The following is a 23106-nucleotide window of genomic DNA, read 5'->3' as shown; positions in this document are numbered from 1 at the left end:
TTTGCAGGAGGCATCTTGGGGTTTTAATCCCTGCTCAACAACTTACCAACTCTGGGGCTATAAGCCATTTATTTCTCTTAGCCTTGATATCTTTATCAATTAAATAGAGATAATAATATGCATCTTGAGGAGTTACCCTGAGAATTACATGTGGCCATGGTTATAAAATATCTAAACAACATTTGGTACACAGTAAGTGCTCAATATATAGAAGCTATTTACTACAATAAAGGAGAGTTAAGGCAGGTTACTGGAATTACTTCATCATTTTCTCTAGATCTGAGAGATTCCAAAGGAGCTGATATAACCAGACATATGGCCTAGTCAGTTCTAGGAAAATCTATAACAAAACTCACTTTTCTTATGAGCTTCAGCAGAACTAAGAGAAATAACTGCTCCAAAGTTTGGAGAAGAGCAAAAGGCTGAATTCAGGACCTATTTGTCTTACAGACAAGTAGAAGCTCCCTACCGCATACCCAACACCGCATATGTGCACAGAGGTGCACAAACGCAAAGGTGCAGACACACATGCATACATGCACATATTCACATATGGAGCTCCCACTCCAAGACTGAGCTACCTCCCTTGCCCACTGTTCTTAAGCTCCTATGCTGTATCAAAGGAGAAGAAACTGATGTTTCAAGCTTGTTGAATTCTAACTCATCAAAATAGTTTGGGTTACCCCCTGTGCTACTTTACAAGGCACTTAGGCATTTTTTCATGGGGTTGGGAAATCATGTTTCATCAGTAATAAACAGGATCAACCCCCAAAGACTGAAGCTCAATTTCAAGCTCAGAACCCAGGAGGTCAGAGTGGATTCTATCACAGAAAATCACAAACTCCCTTTCCTCAGCAAAGCAAAACATATTCTGGGAGAAAGAGAGGAGGCTTAAAGTCAGGCACAGCAGTTTCTAATATTTTTCCACTTGACTTTTCTTAATTAGTGTTGACTAGCTTAATGAAGCAATTAAGGGGCTTATTTGCTTTTTAAAATCACATGTGAAATTTAAGAAACCTTGAAATAGAAGAAATATTTGTCCCCAAGATCTTACCCCACAAGGGATATCAGTTTGAATATTCTCCAACCACTAGAAAGTGAGAACAACCGACCCTGTTCTCCAAATGAGGCCCAAGCAAAACAGAAATCGCAGTAGCCGACTCTGCATGTAGAAATCCTCAGTAAGTGAATGGCTGCTTTTCAGATGTTATTTCTGAGACTTCCATGAAAACAACAATGATAATTAGCTTTTGATAATAAAGACATCTACCACTTATTGATTAATTATGAACTAACAATTGTGCTGCAGACACAATTAGATTATTTTAATATTTTCGTATATTATTTCAATTTAAATCTGTAAATTTTCCCTCCTCTTTTTACTAGAGTAAGAAAATAACGATTCACAGAGGGTGAATGGCATGGCCAGGGTCACACACCTGTCAGGACCTCGATTGAAACTTTTCTCATTCAGACACATGGTTTTCCCATGACATTTCACTTTCTTCCCTTGTGATAATTCTAAACCAGGGGAATTGTGGCTTAAGCACACCAAAGATCATTAAATAACTAAATTTGTGTGTGCATGTTTACACCTATATTTATATAAATAGCATATATAATAGTAAAAATTACATTATTTTAAATAATTATATCTAATTATCTGTATGACAAATAAGCCCCTAATAGATGGTATATTAATCATATGTTTATAGTTTTTTAAGTGATTTACATGTAATGATAAGCCTACATATCACAATTTGTAATTGATATAAACATAAATTGATAATAGTACAAATACATATACAATATATTAAATGTGATATGTATGTGACATATACGTGAGGCATACAAATCCATAATATGTAATACAGGCCATAATATAACATGACATATAAAACATATAATACATAATATTGTGATATATGTAATGTGTTTGTATAAAATACACAATACATGATATATAATACATGGAAATTATGTCTTTAATAATTGTGTATAATTACAGTATTATCAGAAATTTTGATAGAGGGTTAACGATTAGATTATTTTATATTTATTTTAATAAATATATCCTTAGAGGACATATTTATTTATTTTAATAACTATATCCTTAGAGGACAATATTCTATATTACAATATAACTCAATCAATAAATTTGATTATTAACTAATAATATTATGGAGTAATTAACTGGACTATCCAGAGTTTAATGTGTGCATCTGGCCATACACAAGTTCACATTTATTGCCTACCATGTGCTAGAAACAGTGCAAAGCACTTTACATATCACCTTTTTAAACCTTCCCACAAACCAGCAAGGTAGGTACCATTCACTGAAAAGAAATTGAGGCATATATCAGTTAAATATTCTTTTTTTTTTGTTTTTCCTTTAGGGGCACAGAGCTAGCAAAAGAGCCAGGAATCAACCCTTATTTTGTCTTATTCCAAATGATATAGTGTTTGTATTCTACCAAGTCAGATAAGTAGGTGGAGAAAAGACAAAGTGACAAAACACAGGAGGGACAAAGAGATTATGCCTTCATGCTTCCCTGCTCCTTGAAAATGTAGTATATGCCAAGTTTTCATTGATTCAGTGGGTAAGGCAAGGGACACTGGCCTGGTGCCAGTTCAACCACTCTTTCAGTCTCTTGTTTATTCAACAAGCTGTTCCACTGGGTCCTGGGGAAGAGGGAATTATTTGGGGTGGCAGCCCATGGCATATGTCCTGATGCAGCCCATGGCATATGTCCAAGCCCCTCCCAGTGTGACACTCTTGTGACCAGGGTCCATATGCTCATGGCACTCCCTTGGACTTGGCTATTTTTTTGTTGCCTCTGGGACTGCAGGCTAAATACTTGGCACTGAAAACATTGCCAGCAGCAGGACAGTTTGGGAGTACATCCCACATGGGCACTGAGTCAACAGTGCCAACAGGAGGAAAACATATGAGCCCGGGGAGATTTCTTAACTATCTGCCCAGTGGGGGAAATTGTTTATTTTCTACATATCTCCCAAAGAACCCATTTATGAGCTCCATTTGTGACTTCAAACAGGTAAGTTGGCAGAGACATGGCAGTGAAGATAAGATGATGACTAATTAATAGTCTTGCAACAGGTTTCAACACCCAGATCTACAACTACCATTATTTTTTTTCTTAACCACTAACATTTATTTTCAAATACAAACATGCTTCTAAGTATTTTTCTTAATACAGATAATAGTTTTATCTTGTTCCTGGCACGATTTCCTCTTCCCGATAGGGTTATAAATAGGGTATTCCATTTGGCAAGGGTCTTGTCCGTGGCATTGGAGAGACGATTCTATAGTTACTGTAACAAAACAGCACATAGTTGGCATATTTCTCCCCAAACTTTCCTAACATTTACACTGCCATCTGCATACTTTTCACTTGACTTCACTCTGAAAATTGACTGTTCCTCTGATACATACCAGAGACTTGGCTACTTGGACATTTGGAAAAAAAATAAAAGGAGCAAAACATGAAAAAGGAAGCATTCTTCCCATTTCTGATCCCAGGCATTCAATACTTGTAATAGTACAGTAGTTTGTAAGAGTGGTTTAAGGTAGCTTCCTTTAAGGTCAATTTTAATTTTAAGATTTTAGGATTCTGTGAATGAAGGGATAATTCATGAATATACTAATATCGATAACTGCTTTATTTTCCTGAGTTTATATGGCTAATTGCCTATATTCAAATATATATGTAGAAAAATGTGGGAGCAGTATGTGTGTGTAAGAAAACTCAAAAATGGGTCTTAAAAACACAATAAAGTTAAAATGGAAGATCCAGACCTAAAACCCTTTCCAAAGTTCTGCTCCCAACATTTCAAGTAAGTGTTAGATAATGCAAATTAGTTTTTAAGAGGATTAAGATGTTAGAACATAATATCTCTGGAAGTTCAAGGATTTCCATTGTTGTGAGACAAAAAATGCATAAGAATACAAATCTCCATAGTTTCGTCTTCCAGATAACCTGATAACCCCCACCAGTTGGGCTTCACTTTCTTTTCAGGTTTAAAAAAAGGAGGGGGAAGGTTTTGGTAATAGCTGCAGGAGTTATTGATGAATTGAGGATTCTCCAAAATGAGACTTTTAGAGAGATAGAATACACATAGCCCTTGCCTGAAGAACTGGATAAATCCACCCTGTCTTCATCAAACATGGTTAGCCCAGGCATCATTTGAATGAATGCGAAGGGAAAACTAACTTCTCGATGTTTTTTCTTGAAACTCTGCCTGTGCATTTGCTCATGTCATATGAGCACATAGAAGAGAAGCCAGGTCACTGAGTGAATATTGGCCCATAACACATTTTATGGAAGGCTATTTGGTGCCTAGTCACCCCCAGAATGTCTTCATATGAGGATTTACTGAGCCAAAAACAATTTAAGATTTATTTGAGAAGTCACCCAAGTGATGAGTCCATTTGTGGATACAAAGATATTAGTGATTAGAATGGTTGCATTGGAGATGAGAAGTTTCATTGCTGTTGCTGCTGTTGTTTTATTCTTTTTCTATGCTCTTATGCAAAATACTGTAGGAAAATAATTTTTTAACCAAGTTTAATGTGAGATTTTACTTGTGATTTTGATATTTTGATCCCAAGCCTTTGGGTAATCAAATACTTACAGTTGGAGAAGTCAAATTTTCTGTTTTTATTTTAACAATCGTTTTAGCTTATTGAATGAAGGAGTGGACACTGGCTAACTTTACAGAATATTTTATCCATAATTAAGAAATGAAGCTGAAATAAGAACATTGTTTCTCATGGGTTTAAAATAATACAGATAATGTATTTTAATTCCAAGTGCTTTGGAGATAAAAATTTGAGGGAGAATAAACCAGTACACACCTGCACACACACGCACACACACACACTCACACACACATTTACACACATATAGAAAAAAATACATTTTTAAGGCTTACCTACTTACATATATTGTGTTTAAATGAACATCCACTACATCCAACTCTTGTCGCTCTCATCCATCTTAGATATTTAATTTAACTATAACATTAACAGAGAGCTATGGTTGAGTTTGTAAGAAAATATCACATGCACAACATATATTTCTGTAAGGCATGATGCTGGGTTCTGGATGTTGACTGAGAGAAGAAAGAATGGACATCATTTTGACATTGGAAAAATTCATAAATTTGGTGGAGAACAAACATCTGTCATACAAGCTAAATGAGCATAAGTTGCATTTTAAACTCAGCAGTTCACAAATTTATCAGTCACAACCTTGGCATCTTCTTTGATTCCAACTTCCAATTAATCTATCTTATACTTTTCTCACCTTGGCCTCTCCAAATTATCTCAGTTCCTCTCCCCAGTCAGTCAGTGTCTACTTCCTGTGGGTAGATCTACAATTCTGTAATAACCTGTCACTCTATAATTCAAGTCTCTCTTGATTGGCACTGCCCAAAATGGTAGCCCCTAGCCACATCTGGCTTTTACATTAATATTAAAATTAAGTTAAACTTTCAGTTTTTTATTCAAACCAGTCACCTTTCAAGTGCCCAATAGCCACATATGACCCATGGCTGCTGTTGGTGGATGATGCTGGTATTTCTACTGGCTCAGAAAGCTCTGAGCTAGATCTGCGCTAAAGCAGTTTAAAGCTCGCTTGCCAGGCTCTGCTCCCTGTGGTTTCCTCAGGCAAGCGAGCCTCCAATAAGTTAAATTTTCATTGTTTTCTGCATATATTCTGAGCTTCATTGACTTGGGGGCTTTGCTATTTCCAAAGCTTCAAGAGTTCTTTTGAAATCCTGTTGTCATTCAAGGCCTAGAATAAAGAATTCTTTCCCCTTCTTTTAAGAAGCCTTTTCTAATCTTCCCAGTGAGAGCTTTGACTCCTCTGGAATCTGAGAGCACACTTTGTGTCTCAGCTGTGCTTCACTCAGAGCTCTGCTTCAGTGACAAGAGCTGGATGCAATGAATGTCCAGTCTTTCAAACACAGCATATGTGAGCAGATAAGCCTTAAAAAATTGTGAACTGCTGAGTTCAAAATGTAAGTCTTCAGAGGAATTTTTTTTTTTTTTGCTCCAGTAGCTGGTGATGCTATTTTTTTGAGGTCAGGGGAAGCATGAAATTTTCATATTTCATGACCTCTGGTTTTTCTTCTTCGTGTGTTTTATTTTACTTATTTATTTTTTAAAGTTTTGAGGACATTAAAGAGAAAATAAAAGAATAAAAAGGGGAGAAGGACACAATTGGTGACAAAATCTGAAGGTGAAAAGGGAGAAATAGAGTTACATCAACCATATATGAGGGAAGGATGGGGTTGCTGCACATTGTAGAATAAAGTCCTATAATTAAATTCTTTTTCTGCCAATTTGCTTTCTGGATCTATGTGAGTGAATTACTGTCACTAAACCTGTCATTTGTTTTTGTTTTATTTTATCTATAGAATAAAAATAGTAATGCTCACCACATAGGTTGTTGTAAATATCCCTTAAGGTAATATATGTAAAAGTCCCTCTTAAAAAAAAAAACAAAATGTCTCATACAAATGTGAGTGGTTGTTTACAGCAAGCTTCCAGAAAAGGAGGGTTTGGAATGGGGAGAAACACATGTTCTCCTGTCCCTTCACAAACCCACTTTCTTCTGACAAAGCTCTGCCGACTGATAAAGTTCCAGTAGGCTCTTTGTGAGCTATCCAGGGGGTTCTCTTTTTATCTCACAGAAATATTTATGTATCTACAAATTTCTATAATTTTTTTATTCCACCCTCCTTGGGATGTAGTTATGACTGTTGAATATTTACTTTTCAGACATTCCTTCTCCCTTTGAAGAAATCCACAAAAGAAAAAGCAAAATACTGACAAGTTTTCAAAGCCATGATTTACAGGAATGAATTCTGAAAAGCAAGTGGCTAACATCCGAGTTCATCATCAAATAATATTTCTAAAGCACCCTCTAGTGTCTGGCCCCAAGCCAGATGATTCAACGCCTGGAGAAGCTACAGACTTTTTAAAAGTAAAATAGACTCATGTCTGCTCATGAGAAGCAAGTCAGCGTCATTTAGGATGCCTTAGGAATGTCTCTCTAAATAAGGATTAAAAATGGATTGCTGTAGAAAAAGTAATACAAGTACAAACACTAATAATATTGAATGCAATTTAAATTCCATTTTAAAATAGATAATAGGGTTTAAAATAACATGTTGAAAATTACACTGGAATTAGCAAAATTTAAAATCTTAGGAAGAAAAATCCTAATTTGTATGTGAAAATGTTTTGAACTGAGGAAAATTAAGACTAGCAAGAGTAGATAGGGGTTGTCTAGTAGGAATGTTAGACCCATCAGCCATCTGATTATGCTGCGACTGATACTAGCGTGTAGTTTTCACCCAGTAAATTATCAAGTGGTGCAGTAGAAAAAGCATGGTATGTAGAATCATAAGACTCATAGTCTGGGGTCACCTCTACTACTCACTTGGCCATGTGGTTTGGAACACATCACAAAAGATTTATGAGCCTTCGCTTCTTCACATCTAAAATCGTGATTATTTTGCCAACTCCATGGAATTGTTTAGACTTTAGAGGATTACATAGGATACAATGGACTAGTTCCTTGAACAAGTACTTGCCCCCAAAATGTTACCATTTTTTCTGGTTGTGTGACTGATTTTGCAATCAGCAATTTAATAATAATGCATTCAACAGGTTTATAATATGCATTCAATGTGACTCTTGCATATATCTCATAAAAACAAATTTGAATATTTTTCTCATTTTATCACTCACATATCTTTGAGAATGGGATCATAGTTTTATTTTGATAATGAAGTAATAGAGTCAATTCCTGAACAGGCTAGTTGACTTTAATGAGAAATACCCATTTATTCACTCATTCATTTCATTTTCAACTCTTAAATCCATAATGGCCCCTTCACTAACTGCACTAACTGGGGTTCTTATATTAATAAGATGGACCAGATGCTTCTATCACCTCCAAAAAATCTTTGTAGGCAGAGCAATAAAGAGTACTGAATCATTTTAAGAAGTCGCATAGACAATGACTTTTGACCATGGAAGGACTGGGCTTGATCAAGCAAATTCTATTTCAAAGTTTTACTTGCAAGGTTATTTATTACTGTGTGGAATCTCACTCCTGTGGCTGGGGTCAAGAAAAATGGGGACACAGGTGTCTGCCTATTTGCACAGGCATTAAAAAGTGTTGTAAAATGAGCTTCAGCCTTTTAAGTTACTGTCTTCTTCTTTATAATAATAATCTTTTCCATTTTACAAGGTCTATATTATTTTTAGGTAAGAAAACACTGTAGAGTTCATGTTTTATTGTTCCTTGCAGTTATATAAATTATATTTGGCCAAAACAAATGTAATTCCTACTGTGTGAACTGGGAACCCAAAATGTTGATTTTCCTCAAGTTATAAACAATGTGAAGATATGTTATACTGGGTCACAATTTTCCAGAGCAGAGCAAAATATATAACTCAGTTTTAATAACAAAACTGCATATATCATTAAAGTTTCCTACTCCACACAGAATGTATTATATTACTCTGCCCAGCAAGAGACATCCTTTGTGTAGACCACAATTTCTAAAATACCATTTGATTGAATAGAAAACAGGTTAGCCATTTGTTAGTTTAAAAGAAAATATAATGGTTAAATGCTCATGGACATTCTGCTTTGTCTTTGCTAGTGAATATTAAATTTCTTCTCACTAAGTTTAAATGTCACAGATTTTGTAAACAACAAGGTCTGGGGGAAAACCATTATGACCCTTTTCTGACTATTAGATGAATCTTCATATTTTTAGCAACTTAGAAGCAGATGTCCTTTCCTTTGCAGCACCAATAAACCTTATTTACACATGTACTATATCAACTTCAAGACTTATTGTAATTATTTACGTACAAGTCTGCCTCCCCAAATAGACTTGCAACTTAACAAGGCAAAATCCAGACTGCATTATGTTTGTATTCTGGGCCCCTGGTTCAATGCCTACCACAAAGTTGGAGCGCTAGAAATACTAAGTAAAAGAATGTATGCTGAAAAATCACCACCAAATTGTTAATTTACCCACCCGCCTGTTCCTTTCAGAATAATTCCAAAATTTAGGAAACTGCAAGTACTATCTTTACAACACTGATAGGAATCAGGAAATATTTCCTTTATTAAAAACTCACAGATGGGACTATTAGCTAGTCTGTCCTGCTTATTTCACAGATGGGGATTTCAGGGACCAGAACAAGGAAGCTTCTTTACTCTTGCTATACCATAAAACTGATACCAATTATGTTTATGTGATATAAAAGTAGTACATGTTAATTCTAAACATTTTGACAAGTTCAAACATACATAAAGGAGCCAACAACCACATGAAAAGATAACTTGAAGAATCATTAAATGTAAATCAAAACCACAATGAGGTATTACCTCAAACGTATGAGGACAGCTAATATAAAGCAAAGCAGAAACCAGAAACTACCAAACGGTGAGTATGTGGAGAAACTGGAACCCTTGTGTGCTGTTAGCGGGCTTGTAAAATGGTGCAACTGCTATGGAATAATATGACAGTTCTTCCAAAAATTAAAAATAGAATCACGGCATGATCTAGTCATTTTACTTCTGGGTATATATCCAAGAGAATTGAAAGCAGGGTCTGGAAGAGGTATCTGCATGCCCTTGTTTATAGACGCAAAACCCAAATGTCCATCAGGGTATTAATGGACAAACAAAATAAGAAATGGAATCTTACCCAATCTTAAAACAGGAAGGTAATCTGTCACATTCTACAACATGGATGAACCTCGAGGACATTATTTTTAGTAAAACATTCCAGTCACAAAAAATCAAATGCTGTATGATTTCACTAATATGAGCTATCCAGATTAGTCAAATTCATAGAGACCGAAAATAAAATGTGATTTTCAGGGGCTACAGGGAGGCAGTACCGGGGAGTTGTTGAATGCGTGGAGTCTCAGTTTTGCAAAATAAAAATTTCTGGAAATATGTTGTGCCATAATGTGAATATACTGAACACTACTGAATATACACTTAAAAATGGTTAAGATAGTATTTTATTTTATATTATTCTTTCCACACTTAAAAATGTATAAAAATACACATAAAGGAAAAGTTTAAAAAATATATAAAATAACATCAGAAAAGGTATAATTAATATATTTAGTTGTTTTATGCCATATTTATATATTGGAGATCATATTATATAATAATATGCCTTATTTTTATAACAAACATAAGACAAAAACATTTTTAACTATCGAAATACCAACTTAAAAGGTTCAATGAGAGCTCATAATATGAATAAACCATAGTTTACTTAACCACATCCCAATATTTAAATTATCATACTTTTAAAAAATTATTTATTTATTTATTTATTTTTGAGATGGAGTCTCACTTTGTTGCCCAGGCTGGAGTGCAATGGTGCAATCTTGGCTAACTGCAACCTCCATCTCCTGAGTTCAAGCGATTCTCCTGCCTCAGCCTCCTTGAGACTACAGGTGTATGCCACCATGCCCGTCTAAGTTTCATATTTTTAGTAGAGATGAGGTTTCACCATGTTGGCCAGGCTGGCCTCAAACTCCTGACCTTAGGTGATCCACCTGCCCCAGCCTCCCAAAGTTCAGGGATTACAGGTGTGAGCCACCACGCTCGGACTAAATTATTGTACTTTTGTAAGTAATGTTTTATTTCCTATTTTTGTACATTTGTTGTCTACCTTTCTGATTAAGATAGAGTCTCAGAAGTGAAATTAAAGAATGAACATTTAAAACTATCTGCCATATATTGTGAAATTTAATATTGTTTTACTATTCATTGATAGAAGTAGGAGATGAATGGCTCTGTGCTATCACACCATCTTCTGCATTGAGTCTTCTTCGCTTTCTTATCATCGTCATCATGATTATCATCAATAAATTTGTAAGGAAGGAAACAGGACTGCTTATTGATTTTCATTTCTATGCTAGTTAGTAAAACTGATACAACTGAATGTACTTTCCAGTCACTTGTGTAAATTATTTTTTTACATTCAGATAGAGCATAAATTGATGAATATTTGAGACCGTCATGAAGAAACTTAATTTTTTATCTATCATATTGGGCTGCAAATATTTTTCCTAGCTTCACATCTATTTTTAAATTCTGTTTTGTAAGTATACAATTATAAATCTCTGTATAGAGACGTATTTAATTTATTTTTATTTAAATTTTTATTATTTGATTTTCAACTACGGTATAGACAATGATTTTGAGATTTAAGTGAACACCTCATGAAATATTTAGTAAAATTTTCAGTACTATATCTTGAAAAGTCTTGTAGGAGTTTGCATAGGACAGTTTAGGACCTACACGTGAAGTCTGAAATAACTGGTGCAACAACATCAATGGCAATCATAACGACAAAAACAAGAAAAAAAAAAAAAAACCTGTAGCTACATCTCTTTGAGTGTCTGCTTTGTGCCAGGCACTGAGTTGACTGATGTAACTCATCAGCTTAAATCATACAACAGCCTTATGAGGCACGTGCTATTATTATCACCATTTTTTTGCGGAGAATCCAAGAGGCATAGATATTTTATGTAATTTGCTACAATCACTCAGTGTTTAGTTGGAACTGAGTTTTGACTTCAGTCCATCTATCTTCAGAAATCTGGGGCTCTGTCACCACTGAGATATGTTGCCTCTAAAAGTTACTAAGCTGCCTCAAAATCTTTGCAGGATTCATTTAAGGACTTACTAAAATTGCCTTTATGTTTCTAGATGTTTTAGTTTTTTCCTTAATATTTTGGATTTTGCAATGCTTTTACTGTTTTTGGATGGCTTTTAATTTTTTCTCATTATATTTTCTTATTGATTACTTTTAGTATCCACACACTCTACTGAATTCTTACTAATGTTAAGTGGTTACAGTTAATTTTCTTGAGTTTTCTAGTTGTTATTTCTTATGGAAATTGTATTCCTACTTGTGTTCAATATCTTGTAGTAACAGCCACAAGTTCTAGAACCATTGAGTACTAAAGGGCAGAACATGTATGTGTGTTTTGTTTCTAAATATAATGGATATCATTTAGGTTTTCACAACTAGGCATAGTGACGGTTGTCAGGTTAGTAAAGTATTACTTATCATGTTTTATGTGTATTTTATATTTAAGATTTTCTCAATAAAAATAAAAGTTTTATTGTATTTAAAACCACTTGGCATTTTATTTAGATGATAATATACGATTTTTAACCCCCTTCTTTGTCTTACATAAAAAATAAAAATGGCATCTACATTTCCATGGCAATTGTCATACTCTAATCAGTTTTAAGCAGTTTACATGCATTTTCATACATCATCTTCACAAAAACCCTGTGCGGTAGGCACTGACATATTGTCTTTTCCAATTAACAGATGAGAGAACTGAAGCAAAGAATGGTTAGTGACCTGTACAAGGCTATATAATGAATTAAAGGAAGACCTGAGATTTAAGTCCAAAATTATCTGCCTCTAGAGCCAATGTTCCTAATCACTCAGACACATGAGGATACCAGTGGAGAGAGGTTTTGAGAAGTCCTCCAGAATTAAAACCTGTAACAGGGAGACAGAGAAGGCCACTGTATACATACCTACAAGAACTGGATGCAGCTTAACTCTAAAAGGAAAAAAAAATTAGTCTAGTAAGAGTGCTCACTTTTTGGAAATTGTCTCAGGGTACACTTTTATATGTCAAGGGTAAGTTTCTTGTATACCCATCCCCTTTTCTATCTCTTCATAATGGGCAGTAAGTGAGACATATAAAGGAAAAGATCAATTGTTTCGCCTGCTGATCAGAACTTCAGAACTGTCCTCTGATATTTTGAAATCAGGAACTCTGAGTGACCATGAGGAATCAGAGAGGAGGAAGGTTGCAGGCAAGGAGTGTCTAAGCAAGAAATTGGGCTCATGGATATGAGCATTCAGGTGCCAGCTCAGAGACCAGAGAAACACATTCCATGAGATATTATTCAAGAGATTTATTACAAGCAGGAGCTTTATACTGGTGGCCCTACTGATTTGCCCTCTCTTTAGAATGCTCTGCCTCTTTTGCAAAATATCAGAACTAGTTGCACCATATAGAAACAGTATATGTAATCAGACAAGCAGGGAATCTCAACTATGAAAAGGGAGAAGAAGGAAGTGACAGTCAGGAATCATCTAATGTATAAGGAAAACCACCAATGAGAAAGAGAATAACTGAAGAGCTAAGAGCAGAAGGAAATAAAGAATAAATATAAAAATAAATATAAAAACAGAAGGATACCTTCCTCTTGACATAGAAAATAAGAAATGGAATCAGACTAGAAGAAGTTTGTTTCTCCTAGTTAGTTCTCAGGATTAAAACATCTGGCCATGTGCCTGGCCATTCCTTTTTCCATTTTTTTCTCCTCTAAACATATTGAAGGCCAAACTATATTTTGAGGACTATGTTTAAGACACTAGGGAATGTTTAGAATGATTTTCATCATATGTGGTTAACGTTTTTGGAAGTTTTGGCTCTTAAATTCACAGGCTTTAGTTATTTGTAATATTGATCTGTAATAAATAGTCCACTTCTTCGTGATGGTAAATAAGTGACACATCACTCCGTTATACTTTTGTTGATTTGCACACTACTACGGGGAGTGTATTTTATTTAACAATGCAAAGAGTGTCCATGTTAAGTTTGTTTTGTTGCTATGTGTACTGTTTAGTCCCAGGATACCTTGAACTGGAAAGAAGCCCTGTTGAGGGACAGGATTACATAATTCTACCTTTTTGGTAAACTGTTTTGGGCCTCGGTGTCCCCAGCTCAGATATCTGTATATCAAGAGGCATGTGGATCTCGCATTGTTCATTCTGATTTGACCTTAAGCCAAAACCTTTTACAGAAGCCTGAGTCCTGGGGCTTCTTCCTGAGCAACCACCACTGTCATAGAAGTAGCCAATCCCTGCTTATTACTGCAACTCGTGTTGACAGGAAATGGGGTGCTGACCCTTTTCAAAAGAAAGGCAATGAAAAACTATTCCCCTGCAGGTGGAGTTTTCTGGCTCATGTATGGCTTAGAAATGAAATTAGCCATTGGAAATTTCATTCAGGTCAGTCCAAACACTACAAAGTACAACAAATGCAGACCTTTCCACATTTGGTAATCAAGTTCAATTTCTCTCCACATTATTCCTCTAAAGCAGACAACTGTGAAACCTGTATTAATTGCCTTCTGTGTACCCAGTTGCTGCCAGAGTTTACAGATACAGACCATCCCGAATGAGCTTTTACAGGGTTGTGAGCTAGTCTGGGAGACGAGAGTCACCCACACAAACTGCTCAGTGAACAGGCAGCGTATGACAGAGTGGCCAGCCATGTGGTTCAGACAATAGAGTTCAGAGCCAACAACAACTGCTAAGTGCATCGTAGAGCCAACTTCAAGAGAAATGGGAATATGACAAAATGGTATAAATAAGATGCCTGATTTGGATATTTCAACCTCCACTGTTTCCTTTCTTCCAACTTCAATTTCCCTGTAACAGATCAAAACCACTTTGTAGCAGTAATCACTTTAAAATGAATTTTAAACTAATAGGCTCCCACTCTAAAACAGTGTTCTTATTTTGGATGGATCCACCATCCATCCATCACCCTGACCCACTCCAGCAAAATGATGCATAATCCATCTCAGAGCTTTCTGCACATTGTTCCCCTGTTCAAACACATAAATGGCTTCCTACAGCCAACATCAATCAGCCTCTGCTTGGAGATCCATAGTCTCTCCAGCAGGGCCCTGCCTCACCCCGATTTGCAGCACAATGGCTTTTCCTTCAGGACCTCTTCAAGAATGTCCTCCACAACCCACCATACTGACTCCCTCATTCTGTGATCTCACGCGGTCATGCTAGTTTATGGAGTTGACGATGTACCTGATTTGATTGTTTCCTAAATGCAGGCCTTGTTTTGTCCAGTTGGATGACATTTTTCTCCAATACAGTCCTATGCAATGTGATTGGAACTATTTTTACTTTCCCTACAAGAGAGGGCACATGGTAGGTGTTTAATACATCTCCAAATTGTTAGCGTTAACTTCAGTGGAACTAGAGCGTATGGTAATTGTGAATGCAGGCCCAGGACTAGGGGTGGGCAAGTGAGGTGCTTAGCCTATAAAATTTAAGGTAGCACTCACTCTCAGCTGTGGACCCTGCACTTGTAGGACCCTGAGAGTGAGTGCCACCTTAAACTGTGTCCCAGATGCTTTGCTCCTCTTATCCCAGAAGCTGCCATAATTGGATGGTATTATGAAGCATGTTTGCAAAATCTATATTTCCACCATAGAAATAAACATTGACTTTGTTTCTCCCATAGCTATTCATAAACAAGATCCACATGTGTGTATGCATACCAAGAAGCTAATTCATCCACAATGGCCCTCTACAATGGTGACAAAAACATAAAAATAGTAGAGTTAAGATGCCACCTCCTCCCTCAACCTCAAAGAAGGTGTGGCTTTGGTGAAAAGAACTTGGCTCTGAGTCAGATCTAACTGGCATCAAAGCCTAACTTCACTCTTCGCTACCTAATCTTAACTGAACCTCTACATATTATTTGGCAAAGCTGTAGAATAATAATGAGAAGACACACACACAAAATAAATAAATAAAAGGAGGAGGGGGGAAAGAAAAGCAGAAAATAATCATAGATTTTTAAAATGAGGATTGATTAGAATTACATATAAGAAAACAGCACTAAATAGCACTTCGTTATTATTTTTGTTGTTGATAATTCTGGTTTGCTGTTTTGAGTGCACTCATAAAAACAGTTGCTCATGTATAGCATTCTATGCACATGTATCTCTAAATGCACATAAAAATCATAATATATATTAATGTACCCATACATAAATTGCTTACCTAATAATGCTAGTGAGAGATAAAATAGAAATTCTAGTCACTAAAGAAAATCAAATGTTGAATGGGGCCACTTAGAAAGTGTCTTTGGATTCTATGTTCTATGCAACAGGAACCATTTCTTTTATTGACCTTCAAATTGGGAGACATCAAAGTTAATGGCAGCATTGATACCATTAACAAAAACTGAAGACACAATAGGAGCAGAAGATATGGGGACAAAATGACACATTCAAGCTTGAATTGCTAGTAGCACCCAAAGCAAACAATGATTTCTCTGGGAACAAAATGGCACTAAAATGAAGTGGGTCATTTTCTTACCATTCATACCCAGGCAGTAAAATATATACCATCTATGCCATGATGTAAAACACTCACGTGCTTTCTGAAGCTGTTCCATTTAGATATCATGGTTATGTGTGTTGTGATGAACTTGGTAAATTCATAAAATAGTCTTCCAGTTGAGACCATTTCTACCATTAGGCATGATGTTTCCATGACTTATTCTGGCAAGAGTAGACTGGCATTGAATCAATAAATATGTATATAGGTAGCTTTGAACCACAAATGATCTTACGTAAATTAATAAGGCAATTGAGACTGTGTAGACCTGTTTTGAAAAATAATTCATAAGACCAAAATGGAAAATAATTGTAAAATATTTACTTCTGGCCACTACATTAGGGTTATATGTAATCAGGTCACTTCCCGGGGCCTAATGAACTATTAGCAGTGACACCAGAATTTGGATATAAAAGTTTTTACATAAGCAATTTGAAGAATGAATTCATTCGTTTTTCCAATGTCACTGAAAAGATATATATTTGCTCGTCTTTTATTTCTTATTTTTTTGCTTGAGTTGTTTTAATTCTTTTACTTGAGTGTCCTGAGAAGTTTTATGTATGCCAAATTCTGAGGCAGTGACATTAAAGAGAGGTTTAAACCTTATTCTAAGGACAGTGGCCTTTAAAATATGATTTGAAAGAGAAAAGAAAGGAACCAATGAAATGATCTAATATTAATACCCCATTAATAATGTAGTATTTAGGACAAGTAAGTAAAGCCAAATGTTAACCGAAATGTCTCCCAGTTGGGTCAGAGTCTGAACATCCCCCTGCAGTGTAAACACTCCAGCCTTGTGCCCAGGAATTACAATGTGGGCCAAGGACTAACTCACAGCTTTCGGTGCCCAATCAGCATGCAGTTAAAACAACTAAAATAACATGACATAAAGACACAAGACACGTTGAAAAACAAACTCTTACACACACATGACAAAGAAAAATACTTGATATTAAACAGCCCCAAATTATCTTCTATTAACAGCTCAATTCTATTGGTAGCCCACCACACTGATGGCTTGAAATCTTCCAGCACTCATTTAAGAGTCTCAGGGAGTCTGATTTACTTCTCAATGGCCCATTCATCCTTTGAACGTTTACTCTGTAGCCTGTGCAGTTATAACCTAAGCTGGATTTCATACATGAAAACTGACCTCCAGCACCCAATATTTTTGCCAAGTCTCAGTGAAGGCTCTTGGAATAATTTAGAGTTTGCCATAATGACAAGTTTAAGATTCAATTAATAAGTGTAGTAATTTATTTTTACTATGTTTGTAAAATGGCTTTAGCCCAACTAATTTCACTCCCCTTCACAGCCAAAAGGCCTAAGATAGCAACGATGATCCTCGCAGCAACACACAACAGGGCAGTTCGCTCTTGGTTGTTTAATGCCACGTCAAACACAAAGATTTCTACAGGACTCAGATGGAGACATTTCTCTCTTGCCTTAGTTTGGGCAAAAAATTGATGTCCTTCAGATAGCTGTAATGGATGGTGAGGACGGCAGAGAGTAATCAGGCCCAGCCCGAGGCAAATGCCAAAAGTTTCCCAGAAGGATAAATCTTGTTTCCTGCCTTACTTCACAGAATTAAGCCTTAAACAAGTCATGTTCTGTGGCTTGGATGCTGTGTTTATATCAGCTTTGGCTCCCTGGCTTGTGGTTGGGAACATTGTATTGGTCTGTAACTCAGGAAGGTTTTCCTGAAGCAAGAAATCACTATGTCGGTATCTTTATCTCCCATTCCATTTTATTTGTTCTATTAATACTGGCAAACGAGCTCTGAATGGTAAGTGGATTCATAGGAGACAGTGACATTGACCAGGTGCAGCTCGCAAAGCCAATGATTTAGCGCTCTGTTTCGGTAACCGTCTTTCCCAGGAGTTGTATGAAAGATGCCTCTTCATAAAGGATTTCGTTTTGGAAAATAATAACAGCACCTCATCTGTGCATGGCTCATTCTCGGTAGGTTCAGGAAAAAATCTTTTCTGTGGAGTTCAGGGTAGGCTGAGACCTTGTGGTCTCTCAGTGTCTTAAATGAAACCAAATCCTCTGGGGAGTGCATTCATTTATGGTTAGTAACAGGCGACTTCCTGTTTCGAAGCAAAATGGGCTTGAAGAGGCTTATAAAAAAGACTCAAAAGGTTTCTTGGACATCAAATGACTCTAGTAAAACATTTCGATGAGTTAAGTGTAAATGTACCAGCAGCATACGGATTAAATTCCCTTCTAAATAAACATTAACAGAGAACATGTTTGGCAAAATGCATTTTGAGTTTTGCAAAACTGAAAACATTTGAAAAAGGAGTGTGAGATATTTGATGAACTCAGAAAGCAGCCGGATTGCCCATCCCATACTTGAATATTGTCTTTGGATGTTCTGCAGATGTCAAATAAATTAGGATGCAGATATTAAGACCAATGTCTGCTGCAGAAATGATCAGCTGCCTGTCAGTTAGGATGGCGTTTTTGTGTATACCCTGTTCGTGTATGTGTGGCTGAACAGAGCCGTGGGGGACCTGTAACCCTTTCCTCACCTACAGGCATCCTCCCTTTCCTGGATTCAGTCCTGTAAGACCTTTTATTATTCACAGCTCTTCCATCTGTTTTGCTGCCTGTGAGATATTTTGGCTTCCAAAGAGGATTCCTGCTTTGCTATATATTTACAATGAAACTTTGGTGTCACCAGGCAGATGACAGCCTTGGCGTTGCTTGGGCCAAGGCCTTTTATCCAGAAGCCACTGTCCTCGTCAAGACTCTTATTATCTCTCACTATCTCTTTTTTCTGACATGCTCCCGAAACAAAATTTATGAATCCTTTGAGATGGTGGAAGTAACGACGGAACAGAAAAGATTAAGGGGAGAAACATTTTAAATGGGCCACCAACTACACTTGGTAACTATTAATAAATGTAGAAAAGAATCAAACGTTACTCTAAGGGTTGAGTTTTAGTGATCGTATCAATGGTGAAGCCACTGAATTAGAGAAGCACCTTTAGAAATCTTTTCCATTATTAAGTCTGATAGAGCAGGAAAGCACACCATTTGTATCCTTTTTATAAAGTATTTGACCCAGAATAACAAATAGTCATGTCACAGGGCAAATCTCATATGATTTGGATGCCATTACCTTGTAGTCTGTAACTACACTGACTTACGATCATTTTGGTTTTGAATGGTACTTGCAGAAAGTAGATTTGAAGAAAATTAACAGGCCAATACTCGGCAAGTATTATGTTGAAATATTTAAAAGATTAAAAGTTTAGCTCAGTGTATTTTGGCAAATAATATTATTTATAGATAAGTAATGACCCACTACCATACCAAAAATAATACAGACAATTAATATGCTACTCATTAAAATGTTTACTAAAGCCTTTATAGGGAGCACCCACTTCTCTTTTTGGAATTATTGAACAGCCAAACAACCGTCAGCATCTTCTCTTCTGCTATCTTCATGCATTCATTAAATGGTTTTCCATTAAGGCTGTGGTGAGACTGAGTCTGTTGACTTCATTTCTCTCTACTTTCAAATTACTCTACATATGGTTGCCAGAGTTTTCTTTCAAAAGGACTAGTCTTGTCATTCACCTGTTCAATAATCTTTGATGCCTACCAGGTGCCTCCAGAATAAAGCCCAAGTTCTTTAACTTGGTGTTCAAAACCCTCTGGTCTGGCCCTAATTCACATTTCAGTTCATGTTCCACCACCTCATAATCCGGTCATACCAGACAAATTCTCTATTCCCAGATTCCACATGTTCAATATGCTCTCATAGTATTTACCACTTCTTCTCAGCATTTTGCACACTTGTAAATATTTGCTAAATTATTTGTTTAAACAGAGTTTCCCCACTAAACTCCCAGTTAAGTGAGGGTGAGGGTTGTGTCTGCCTCATGTATTCTGTATCCCCAGGTTCCATCTTAGTGACTGGAACACAGTAGGTGCCCTGTGATGTCTGTGAACTCATGGAGCCACTTGTCTGTTTTCTTGTGGCACTGACTGTGTATTTATATTTTAGTACTTATGAATTCCATGTTTGTCTACCTGAATTTCCTACCACGATTCTTTGAGCCTAGAGGACAGAGACTGTGCCTTAATTTATTTCTGTATCCTTAGCACCTGGGGTAGTGCTTAGCACACCCTGAATACTCAATACATATTTGACAAAGTTAAACAAGAACATTTGCTGCACGTTCTAAAAAATCATCCCATTCCTTAGGTAAGCCTACAGGCATGACGACAATTTTGAGATGTAGCTCTCACTCCTGCATCAAAGGCAACATTCTAGGGCAGGCAAGTTATAGGTCATAGGCCAAGTCTGTCTGCCACCATCTCTTTTTGTAAATAATTTTATTGGAATATTCATTTTTTATATTGTCAATGTCTGCTTTCATACTACAATAGCAGGTTTGAATAATGGCAGAGACCAAGGACTTTGAAGGCCCCAAATATTTACTATTTGGTCCTTTATACATGAAGTTTGCTGACAACTGTATACACAAATAAGTATACTAATTGTATTTACTTTATATAGTGGTTATAAGCATTAAATTAAGTAACATCTATAAAATGCTTAGTACCATCTTTGGCACATATTAATTGCCAAACTGTTAGGTATCATCATCATTATAGTATCTTAATTATTTTCTAACAGTTACAAACATAGGGTAGAGCAGGCCAGTAGAAACTTGATACAGGCCATTCTAGAAGCAGGGATGGAAGAAGTCAAATCTAAGAGCTTGGCAATGAGGGAGAAGCAAAGTACAAAACAGACCTAGTGTCGATAGAAATGTCATTTGATATAAGTATATGACCATCATATACCCTGATGGTTTTATTATTACCCCCATTTTACAGATGAGAAACCTAAGACACCAAATCCTCGTCCATTTGTCACAGATGCTCAAGCTAGAAGTCATGGAGCTGACACTAGAAATCAGAACTTGAAAGGACTGTCCACATGAGAAAGAAACCGAAACAAGTCTGTTCCCTGTCCCAGGCAAACAATCATCAACTGGGCTAGGACGACCTGGGAGAAAGAATGACCAAAAACAACCAAAACCTCGCAAATCGTGGGAATCCAGAAAGGAAGCACTGACACTGAAATCAATCTCCTGACTAACAAACACATAAAGAGCTGATGAATGTCATTAGTGATTAGGGGAATACTAATCAAGACCACACTGAGGTATTATTTAACAAACAGATACATTTTGCAATTGGCACGTGTTTTAAAAGTCTGATATTGCCAAGTGTTTGAAAGGATAAATTGGAGGAAGATTTTAAACTTTGCTAATGGGATTGTAAAACTGGTGCAACTACTTTGGAAAACAGCTTTACGTGACCTTTTAAATTTGAACATTTATATATCTTATGGCACAACAAATACACTCTTAGATATGAACCCAACAACACTTGCACATACACGAGAGGGAATATGTGCGTGAATGTTCATGACAGCCTTATTTTTAACAGTTAAAGCCTAGGTACTCATCAACAGAAGAATTCACAAGGTCTCAGCAAAGGACTTTCACACAACAATCCAAACAAATGAAGGATAGCAATTGACAATATGGATTCACCTTAGTAATATAATATTAAGATATTAAGCAGAAGCTAAATAAGTCACTAATTTTTTCTTGTAGCATGGCATGATACATTTCTGTGAAGTTAAAAGCTATTGAACTAAATAAAGAACATATAGAGATGCAGTAAAAATATATAGAATTTTAAAGAATATATAGAGATGTAATAAAAATATAGCAAGAAAATGATGAACACAGGATTTAGAAAGCTAATTTCTTAGTATGTAGGAAAGCAATTTCAAGATCCAATTGAGCTGTGTTTCACAAGGGTGGCAGTTCATTTATTCCTTTATTCAGTCAACAAATAGTATTAAATATTTATATATTAAATGCTGTTAAATGATAAAAAGTATTAAGCACCGATTAGGTGTAAAGCACTGGGATAAGTATAAGGGTAGTAATGGAACAGACAAACATGACTTTTAACCTTCAAAAGGCTGTATTACAATGGGAGAAAGGTCCGGAGAAGACTAGGATTCAAAAAGTGTTTCTATCTTAATGAGGACAATAACATTCATCTTTGGAAATGGAAAGAAAGAGTCTTCCTAAATTTCTTCCTGTGTGTAATTGTAAGTTCAGCAGGACTTCTGTAAAACAAATCCAAGTTGATAATAAATAACAAATTCATAGATACCTGAGCATAGCATACCAAACCAACGCTCAGAAGATATATTTATAGAAAATATAAAGACATTGGTAACTACTTCACACCACTTACACATGGCTCCTCTTCCAGCACCATGAAATTGATTATTTTAATTGATGAATTTATTAATAAACACAGACTGAATCCCAACTATACATAAGTCCCTGTGCTTGAATTTGAATGGTCTTAAACAGTTGTTACTCAAACTTTAACAATATGCCCCAGCAGCAATGACTACAGAAGAGATTTGGTCTCAAATAGTACAGATTTGTGAGTTCATATGAAGCTATACAGCTGGCAAGGTTGACACAAGATATTTTCCTAATGACTCATGAAGGTGACAGGTTTGCATAAAGCATGACTCCTTGCAATTTATTTGGGAGAGTTGCTGATTGCTGCATGCTAAAAGCTCAAAATTCTAACTCTGGTTAATGAAAAGGTTAGAGCTGCTGAGTCTGACATGAAAGACCTGTGAACTACCCAGGCTAGGGGCATCCTCACTTTTTCCTGTGCACAACTCTGATTACTCTGTAGTTAGTCCTCACAACTTTCCCTTTGAACCTTACTCTCTTACCTACATAACTTCATTGTCACTAATTCCTG

At 36.2% G+C, this 23106-nt stretch overlaps 2 long non-coding RNA genes across 2 annotated transcripts in view; one reads left to right on the top strand and one right to left on the bottom strand.

The window, feature by feature from the left end:
* LINC01376 (long intergenic non-protein coding RNA 1376) overlaps positions 1-8223 on the top strand; it is a 40521-nt gene extending 32298 nt beyond the window's left edge. Inside the window, exon 4 of the long non-coding RNA NR_135287.1 lies at positions 6806-8223. This is a non-coding gene — a long non-coding RNA (long intergenic non-protein coding RNA 1376). The remainder of the gene's footprint in view (positions 1-6805) is intronic.
* The window catches only part of LOC105373456 (uncharacterized), a 529181-nt gene that overhangs the window by 94683 nt on the left and 411392 nt on the right, over positions 1-23106 (bottom strand). The window lies entirely within an intron of this gene.

Source organism: Homo sapiens, chromosome 2 (assembly GCF_000001405.40).
Source record: "Homo sapiens chromosome 2, GRCh38.p14 Primary Assembly".
Lineage (NCBI taxonomy): Eukaryota > Metazoa > Chordata > Mammalia > Primates > Hominidae > Homo > Homo sapiens.
Note: the sequence above shows the minus strand (reverse complement) of the source record. Positions and strands in the feature narration are given on the sequence as shown.